We start from the raw sequence: 9176 nt of genomic DNA, 5'->3' as shown, positions 1-9176 counted from the left end.
TCATTCTGTCGCCCAGGCTGGAGTGTAGCAGCACAATCTTGGCTCACTGCAACCTCTGCCTCCCAGGTTCAAGTGATCCTTGTGCCTCAGCCTCCCAAGTAGCTGGGACTACAGGTGCCCACCACCACGCCAGGGGAATTTTTTGTCTTTGTAGTAGAGGTGGGGTTTCACCATGTTGCCCAGGCTGGTCTTGAACTCCTGGCTTCAAGTGATCCACCAGCCTGGGCCTCCTAAAGTGCTGGGATTACAGGTGTGAGCCACTCCGCCTGGCTTGAGGTAAGAATCATTATCCCATTATCCAAATGGAGAAATAAGGCCAAGAGAGGTTAGAGAGTTGGCTTAAACTTCAGGTTTCATAGCTACTAAGAGGCAGATGGCCAATATCTGTAGGCAGATCTGGCTGTCTCTAAAGCTAGGTGCTATCGTCAGGGTTGCTGGACCATGGGGCTGGTGCCTAGGACTTCCCCACTCCAGTCTTCTGATGGAAGAGTTAAGGTGGGAGGCTGTGAGGACTGGGCCTGTGCTGGGTGTGCTATCATGGGTCTCCTCTGCCTACTCTACTGGTTTCCTAGGTTCATATTCCCAGTAGAGGACATGGCCTGGAAGGTGGACAGTTGAGGGGTACTGTGGAGTCTCCCTAAGAAGAAATACATGTTTCTCCTGTTGGGTATCCTATAGAGCACTGGTTCCCCACCTTTTTGACACCAGGGACCAAAATGTAAGTTTCCACAGACTGAGGGTGGCAGGGATGGTTTCAGGATGATTCAAGTGCATTACATTTACTGTGCACTTTATTTCTCTTATCATTACATTGTAATATATAATGAAGCAATTATATGACTCACCATAATGTAGAATCAGTGGGAGCCCTGACCTTGTTTTCCTGCAACCAGATGGTCCCATCTGGGGATGGGAGACAGTGACAGATCATCAGGCATTAGATTCTCATAAGGAGTATGCAACCTAGATCCCTCGCATGCACAGTTCACAATAGGGTTTGTGCTCCTAGGAGAATTTAATGCCACAGCTGATCTGACAGGAGGTGGAGCTCAGGCGGTAATGCGATAGGAAGCGGCTGTAAATACAGATGAAGTTTCACCAGCTAGCCCCTACCACCACTCACCTCCTACTGTGCAGCCCAGTTCCTAACAGGACATGGAGGGTTACCAGTCTGTGGCCCAAGGGTTGGGGACCCCTGCTATAGAGGAACTAAAAATAATAGCATAACTACACAAGATTGAGGGATGGAAGTGGGTGTGAGCCAGCTAAATCATTATCTATCATAGGAGGAAGGCAACAGACAGTGGCCAGTCCTGATAAATGCAGATGTAGCTATGTGAGCATCTTAATGTAGTGATGTGGAGGTAACCATCAGACCTGAAAACACCAGTGGCTTTAAGCAGCATCCCTGGATTGAAGGATGGAGAGGGAGTTCTTGCTTTTCATTGCAAGCCATTCTGTCCTATTTGATTTTTTTAAAAAAGCTGTGTGTATTATTTTTAAATTATTATTTTAAAAGTACAGGCTCTGAAAGTTAAAAAAAAAAAAAACGCTCTGGGGGCATCTAGTGGATTCACAACCCTCCCCCATCTGAGCTGACATTTTATCTTCTGGAAAATAGGGATAAAAGCCATACTCACCCCACAGAGTTGCTCTGAGGATAAAATGAGGTAATGCATATAAAAGCGCACTGACCAGAGTTGGCTGAAATTCAGCATCTATAATTACTAAACATCGTTATTATCAATAATAAACCAAGTATACGTTAATACTTAGGCCCTGGCACACAGTAGGCACTTAATAATGGGTGGAAGTAGTTATTTAACCCCCCACCAGGGCCTGTAATTTCCCCCAACCCGTGACACACTGGCCCCAAGGCTCCGAGTGAACACTTAAATATTGATGTGGTTACTCATTTATTCATCACTCGGCTCTCCGCCGCAGAGTCTGAGGAGGGTGAGCCCCGCTCTCGGGCCTCCCGCGCCGCCGCATGGCCGCATCCCGGCCCCCTGCGCCGGGAGAGATTGGAGGCGGCGGCAGCTCACCCGCTTCCAGGTCGCCGATGCGGGACCGTCACGTGGCGGGGCGGCAATCGCTCCAGTTTCACTCCGGCATTTTCCCCCGCAGGGGCGGACTGGAGGAGGGGAGAGCGCGGCCCGGGGTCAGGGGAGCGGCGGGGGTCCCCATCACCCCAAGTCCGCGCCAAGAGGCTGGCCATCCCAGGAACTGCGGGCCGGGACCCTTTTACGGAGAGGGCTTTCCGGAGCAGGGACTTTTAGAAGGAAGACGTGGGATTGGCCTGGAGGCGCAGAGCGGGTTTTTCGTACCTGGCCGCGGGTGTAGGGCTCCCCACAAGCGAGGCCGGGTTGCTTCGGGCGCCCCCAGCCAGGGGCGGGGCCACCGCGGGAACTCCGCCCACCCTCTGCAGAGGCCGCGCACCGCCCCTTCCCGCTCCGGGCTGGTCTGCGGCTGCCGGGGCGCGAGCTGCGTGCCCGCATCCCTGTCGCACCGCCTCGCCGGTTGGGGCGGCGGGCGCGGGGCGGGGCAGGGGGCGGGGCGCTGACGTCGCGGCGCGGCCCGCGGCCAGCGGCCCGGTGAGGCGGGGAGGCGGCGGCCGGTCGGCCCGGCCCAGCCCAGCCCGCAGCTGCGGCGGCGCTCAGAGTTGGTTCCTGACCGCCTTCTGCCGCGGCCGGGTTTGTCACCAGGTCCTGGGGTCTGCACCGGCTCGGCCAGACCTCGCCCCCCGCTTCTCCGCCATGGCCCTGGTGCGGGGCGCGGAGCCGGCGGCGGGGCCTTCCCGCTGGCTGCCCACGCACGTCCAGGTGACGGTGCTGCGGGCCCGCGGGCTGCGGGGCAAGAGCTCGGGAGCGGGCAGCACCAGCGACGCGTACACGGTGATCCAGGTGGGCCGCGAGAAGTACAGTACGTCGGTGGTGGAGAAGACGCACGGCTGCCCCGAGTGGCGTGAGGAGTGCTCCTTCGAGCTGCCGCCGGGGGCCCTGGATGGCCTGCTGCGGGCGCAGGAGGCCGACGCGGGCCCGGCGCCCTGGGCCGCGAGCTCCGCCGCCGCCTGCGAGCTGGTGCTCACCACCATGCACCGCTCGCTCATCGGCGTCGACAAGTTCCTGGGCCAGGCCACGGTGGCGCTGGACGAGGTCTTCGGCGCAGGCCGCGCCCAGCACACGCAGTGAGTAGGGGGCGCGGGGGCACAGAAACGGCTAAAGGCCTAACAGGGCGGGGCTGGTGGGGGATCAGGACCCCGAACTTCAGCCGGGCCAGTGAGCCCTTGCCTCGTGCTTAAGGGCGTAAACCGACAGAAACGTTGGTTCTTCGCATTTCGGGGTCGTCTTCAAGCTTCCCAAACGTGCGCTGTGTGGGGCTCAGCCACTGGTGGTCCCTGGGAGGCCTGGGGGAGGTTTAAGTGGTGGCGAACGTTAGGAGTAGATTGTCAAGTAAAGTTAGGAATGAGATTCAGAGGCTTTGGGGCTATGGAAACCTCAAGAAGGGAAATCTTGGGGCCGTTCTTAGAACCTCCGGGCCTGCCTCCCTTTCCTCAAAGGGGAGGGGAACTGCGGGCGCCTGTCCGGCAGGGGAGTGGAGAGGCGCAGCCTTGCCCTACGGGGGAAGGAAAGCCAGGTGTCTTCCTCCAGGGCGAGGTTGAATGTTGATTACCCCGCTAAACGTAGAAGCTGGCTGCAGGGGGCATCTGCCTCTTGCTCTCAAGATGCCCTCCACTATCTAGAGATGTCACCCCCCCACCCCCATCCTGTCCCTCTGTGTCCTGTGTCCCTGGTCTGAGGATAGGAGGAGCTTCTAAGTTAAGGAAGGAAACACTTGAGTCAGCCTTCCAGTGGCCTGCCTGCCTGCCCTGCCCTGCCTGAGGTAGAGGCAGCGGCATGGTTAATGAACAGCAGGAGATTATCTCCCGGTCACTTCCACCTCAGTGGGCCAGGGTTTTTTTAAATCATTTATTTTGGCAGCATTTAACCTTGCCTGTGTTAAGATCAAGGCTTCAGCCTTGGAGCCCCATTTCCTGTTTTGGGCTTGGGCAGGAGCTGGAAGCCAGTCCCCGGGGCTGACAGCCTGCTGTGGATCACTCAAGTGGTTAACTTGGGAGTGATCTGGGTAGGAGGGTAAGGGGATTGGGGCAGGACTGTGCCTTAGGTCAGGAGAGGTGCCGGAAAGGTTTGCCCCAGTGGAATGGCATCCACTGAGTGAATAAATCCAGGAAGGCTTGCTGGAGGAGGGGGATGAGCCTGGTGCAAACCCAAATGAAAGCAGGATTTAGGTAAAAAGGATCTGACCTTGAATGTTTTCTGAAACATGGGTGTGGAATGACTTTCCTGGCTGGCTCTCTGTGGTCTGGGATGGGGAGGGCGTTAGTGCAGGTTCCAGGCATGGCTGTGACCTGACTCCATTTCCCCATCCCCTGGCCTGCTCCCCGCCTTCCTTCATGACTTGCTGTTTGGTGGCAGGGTGTGGGATCATGTGGTATATAGCTTGGACCTTGTTTTTTTCCTCCTTTCTGTCCTCTCCCTCCTTCCTGGTTCCTGGAGCCCAAGGGGGTGGGTATATGGGGCGAAAAGCTCTCTCCTGGATCTCTTAGCCCATTCTTTTTCAGAAGAGGTGCCTATCCCCCAAATCATTCCACCCCTTCCCCCAGTCCTTCACCCTCCACCAATCAGCTACTCTGACCAGACTGTTAGATGACACATCTGTTCAGGGGGTGCTGGGGGAACAGGAGGAGGCAGACCAAAAAAAGGCTCCAGGCCTGCAGGGAGCAGCTTCTTTGATTGTTTTTTCCAGTTCCTGCCCTTGCTTTCCTCTTGGCCTCTGGATCTTCCTTAGCTGAGCTGGCCAAGCTTGTAGGTCCAGGTGGACCCATTTTCAGCCAAGAACAGCCTGTCTTGGAGAATTTGACTTACCACCCCTTGATCTGAATGGGAACCTTAATTTATTTTATAGAAATCATCTTTTCCACCAGGATCTTTCCACACCCACCTGGCTGTTTTCTCTGATGCAACAACCTGGTTTATTTATAGAACCGGGGGGGGAACAGGAGTGGGGAGGGTCACTTAGGATGGGCAGAGGAAAGTCTGTGAAGTTGGCCTGGTGCTCTAGTTTACTGGACCTAACAGCATGCCCACTGACAGAGGGGGAGGGCTGTCACCCCCGCTGTGGTCCCCACCTCTGGCTGTAGTGGTCATTCCTGGTGGTATTTCCTGGAGCACCCTGGTGTGGGCTACCAAGACTGAGTCTGAACGCTGCCTGGTAGGGAGAGGGCAAGGCAGAGAAGACCAGGGTGTACCCTCCTCAGCTTTGGATAATGGTGGAAATGAAAAGTATCCATTCTTTAACTCCAGGAGTTGGCTGTGGTGGTCTCAGGTAGGGCAGGTGGTGGCCCTTTGCCAAGAGAGGACCTGACTGGGGAAGGTACCCTTATGGTTAGGAAGGGGCTACAGAGTGGCACTGGACAGATCCCAGTCCCAAAACTGCCACCTGTGGCAAGTCATATAAACTCTTGGTGCCTCAGTTTTCACGTCTGTAAAATGGAGATAATTTATACCTTCATATGGTTGATGTGAGGGATGAAATGAAAATGCAGCTTAAGCACCTAGTACAGTCCCTGTACATGGTAGGTGGTCAGTGCAGAGCAGTGATGGTGAAGGGAGATTTTAGTAACAATGTCTGGAAGAGCTTCTTATGGGATGGGGGAGACAGTCTAGAACTTAGAGCCTAGGAAAGCCTTAGGACCATGGGTGACGGAGTACACAGAAGAGTACGAGAGTTCCCAACAAAATGAGCTGGCCCTTTGCAGCTCTCTGTATTCTATTTGCTGCAAGAGGCCCAAGAAATAGGGCTGGGCTTGAGAGGCCTCTGCAGTCCTGAAACCAGGCTCAGATAAGCCCGCAGCTCTGCAGCTCTCCTCCCTGGCAGCCCTGCCTGGAGCTGCCCCTGCCCTGTTGGGAAGGAAGGATGGCCCAGGGCTTAAAAACCTGGAGACTGGGATTTCACTCCCCGTTCTGTGACTTACCAGCAGACAGGTTACTTATCCCACTTCCTCACTTTGAAAAAGGTCATGATAATAATCATAGAGTTGTACAGATTAGATAAGACACCATCTGTAAAAGCCTTAATGTAGTTCTGGATACATAGAAGCTCTCAAAATATTAGCGTGGTGGTGACTCTGGGGCCCCATTTTGTGTGATGGTGGTGGCTGGGGTTGTAGGTGCTTCAGCAGCCTCCGAAGGTCTTGTGTGAGTGGGGCAGTCTTTGAAATGAGGAATTTCACCAGAGGCTTCCAAATAATTGAAGAGGATATTCTCAAAACAAAATGTAATGGTAGTACACAAGGAAACTAATGATCTCCCCACCCTCAGTAGAACTGTCCATGGATCGTCATGTTCCTGTTGGTCTGGAAATCCTGGATGCTTCTCTGCGATTTATTTTCTGGTTTTTATCTTCAACATCCTTTTTTTTTTCTTTTTTGAGACAGTGTCTCACTCTGTTGCCCAAGTTGGAGTGCAGTGGCAGAATCTGGGCTCACTTGCAATCTCTCCCTCCCAGGTTCAAGCGATTCTCCTGCCTCAGTCCCCTGAGTAGCTGGGATTACAGGCATGTGCCACCACACCCAGCTAATTTTTGTATTTTTAGTAGAGACTGGGTTTTGCCATGTTGGCCAGGCTGTTCTCAAACTCCTGACCTCAGGTGATCCACCTGTCTTGGCCTCCCAAAGTGCTGGGATTACAGGCATGAGCCACCACGCCTGGCCCAACGTCCTTCTTAGCACTCCCCAGTGGGTGTCCTGTGTTTGCCTCCCTAACTCCCAAGACAGGGATGGGATGTGGTGGTTAGTTAGTTTTCCTTGTTCCCTGTGGGGTCAGATGGGTCATTTGGACCTTTTTGGTCTTTATGCGATTGGTGTGGATCACACCCCCAGGGAATGGACCTGGATATATCAGAAGAGGGAAGGAAGGAAGCAGCAGCAAAGGTTTTGGAGTAAGAAGACAGGGCATCTGCCACAAGGCCATTTTGGTTGGGGAGACCTGGTCTTTGCCCCCTGGAATGCTGGTCTTTGTGTGTTTTAGGAGAGGAGGAGAGAGCACAACTGTGTTATATGGAGCCCCTGTCCACCTTCTCCCTCATCCTGATAAGGGTGAAATGGTCCCTGCGGTAAGGCCTGGAGTGTGGCAGACAGGATCGTCATCCTGGGCCTGTTGGATCAATGGTTAGAAGCTGGCCTCTTGGGAAAGCAAAGGCTGTGGGTTCAGCTTGGGTTGGGATCAGTTTGTCTTTTTTCATCACAAAGACTAAAACTGTTGTGACCATGAATTGTGGCCTGCAAGAGGCTCCGTTCAGCCCCTGCTTAGACTGTGCCACTTGGCAAGGGAGCTCGGAGAGCTGAGGCTGTGAAAGATGTAGGTCTGAGATGAGAGCCTTCTGCCTGGCTGGTCATGGTGTTCTGAGACCTCCTTAGGTGGGTGGGTTTGGGGGCACTGGGAGGCACCTGAGGGGACATGCATCCCATTAGCCTAAGGCTGGGATGGTCTTTGAGGGCTTCCATCTATCCCGTAGCCCACAGACAGCCTGGGCAGACAGTTGGTGGGCAGATGGTGCGTGACCCCACAGCCTTCTCTCTGTTGGCTTCTGGGTGTGACTCTGCCCCTCGGGAAACAGCTGTGGTCACTTGAGCCCCTGGCCTTGGCTCCTGCTCGGCCCCAGAGCTGGCATGGGAGGCCTGTGGCACTGCTGGGGAGGTCTACTCTGGCTGCAGAGGAAGGGTGTGGCTGCACTCAGAAGCCAGTCGTTGGTATGCCGAGGCTCCACGGCCCTTAGTTATGGGGTGGTTTTTATTTGGGGTTGCTTGAGCAGCAGCGTCTTGGGGTGTGGGGCGGGGTAGGAAGTGTGACTCCTCAGTCAGGCTGGGCAGCTCCTCCTCTCTGGCCTGGCAGCTTCCCCTGCCCTCCCCATCTGCCCCTGGCCCTGAGCCCTGGCTGGGACCAGGGAGTTTCAAGGGGCCTGTGGTCAGCCCCATCTCTGCCCCACCTGTCTCTCCTTGTAGGCAGCTGGCTGCAAGGCACAGCTCAGCAGAGCCACATCCCGGTGACCTTGAGGGCTGTCCTTCTCTGCTGGGAGCTGCCCGCCCCACTTGTCACTGCTGCCACCTCAGTGCTGTGACGCTCTTGTCTAAACCACTGGCCTGGCCTTGTCCAGATGTTCTCCTGCCCTTCTCACCCTACGCAGGGACAGATGATGAATACAAGAACAGAAGCTGTTGTGGCTCTGCTCCAGGGGAAGCAGTCCTCTTTTTCTTTCCTTTGCAAAATAGTGTAGCCATGAAGCAGTTTTGTTCTTCCCCACAGCCAAGTAATAAAAATGAGTCCACATGTGAGTCTGCTGTGCACCTGGCAGTCCCTTCAGGGAAGAGTCTGATCACAGTGCCCTTACTGAGCTGGCCTGAGGTTATTTCTACCTTGGGAACAATGGTGGCCAGAGAGGAGAGGGACTTGGCTGGCCACATGAGGCCTCTGTATGGAGCTGGGCCCCGGCCTCTCAGGAGCAGTAAGTGGGGCCTCCCAAAACGGGGCTCCCAGGGGCAGCCAGCACCTCCGAGAAGCTGCAGGGTGGGGAGGGGGTATCACAGGCCACTGTGACCTTTGGTTCACCTGGTAGTGGAGAAGGGAGCACAGCCCTTACTCATGGGACTCCAGCATGGGAGCTGGAAGAGAGCTCAGACAAGGAAACTGGGGTTTGCAGAGGGAGAGCTGCACACTCTCACTACCCAGCACTTAGTGGAGGGTGTGCTCTGTGTGGTTTCCATTAGACCCGGGCAGCCCACAGAGCTGTAGGATTTGGGGTAAAGAAGAGGTGGCATTTGGAGCCCTGTGTGCACCCCGGAGTTTCTGTGGAAGTGCCTGCCAGGTTTTAGTGAGATGGGGACATTGGGCTTCTCTGCTGACCTGGAAGGGTAGTCCAATCCAAAGGCAGTTCTAGAGGCCTGAAAGGCCAAGAGTGGGCCACTGGTGGGGGAGAGATTCCAAAGGGGGGGAAGCCTGGATATCTCCCTACATTTGGAGGAAGCCCTATAGCCAAGTGCTGTGTTTTGGGGCCTAGACAGGGAGCCCTGGAGATGTTCGGAGCAGACAGAGCCACTGGCGCTGGCTGTGGTCTCCTCC

General features: G+C 55.3%; 1 protein-coding gene across 2 annotated transcripts in view, besides 3 other annotated features; it reads left to right on the top strand.

Annotated features, from left to right (window-relative positions):
- Nucleotides 2258-2417: a silencer, noted in NCBI's record as "silent region_11633". NCBI's record gives its function as "represses an Ori minimal core promoter by ATAC-STARR-seq in GM12878 lymphoblastoid cells {active_cell/tissue: GM12878}" and the evidence as "EXISTENCE:reporter gene assay evidence [ECO:0000049][PMID:35858748]".
- Nucleotides 2488-2577: a silencer, noted in NCBI's record as "silent region_11632". NCBI's record gives its function as "represses an Ori minimal core promoter by ATAC-STARR-seq in GM12878 lymphoblastoid cells {active_cell/tissue: GM12878}" and the evidence as "EXISTENCE:reporter gene assay evidence [ECO:0000049][PMID:35858748]".
- RAB11FIP5 (RAB11 family interacting protein 5) overlaps nucleotides 2586-9176 on the top strand; it is a 39567-nt gene continuing 32976 nt past the window's right edge. For both annotated transcript variants that reach the window (NM_015470.3, NM_001371272.1), the window contains exon 1: nucleotides 2586-3187. In NM_015470.3, the coding sequence (NP_056285.1) occupies nucleotides 2757-3187 (431 nt within the window). In that variant the 5' untranslated portion in view covers nucleotides 2586-2756. The remainder of the gene's footprint in view (nucleotides 3188-9176) is intronic.
- Nucleotides 3735-3978: a silencer, noted in NCBI's record as "fragment chr2:73338684-73338927 (GRCh37/hg19 assembly coordinates)". NCBI's record gives its function as "represses an EF-1alpha promoter that drives an FKBP-Casp9 reporter gene in an ReSE screen in HepG2 liver carcinoma cells {active_cell/tissue: HepG2}" and the evidence as "EXISTENCE:reporter gene assay evidence [ECO:0000049][PMID:32094911]".

This window comes from Homo sapiens, chromosome 2 (assembly GCF_000001405.40).
Source record: "Homo sapiens chromosome 2, GRCh38.p14 Primary Assembly".
NCBI classification, from domain to species: Eukaryota; Metazoa; Chordata; class Mammalia; order Primates; family Hominidae; genus Homo; species Homo sapiens.
The sequence above is the reverse complement of the archived record's forward strand: the minus strand, read 5'-3'. Positions and strand labels throughout refer to the sequence as shown.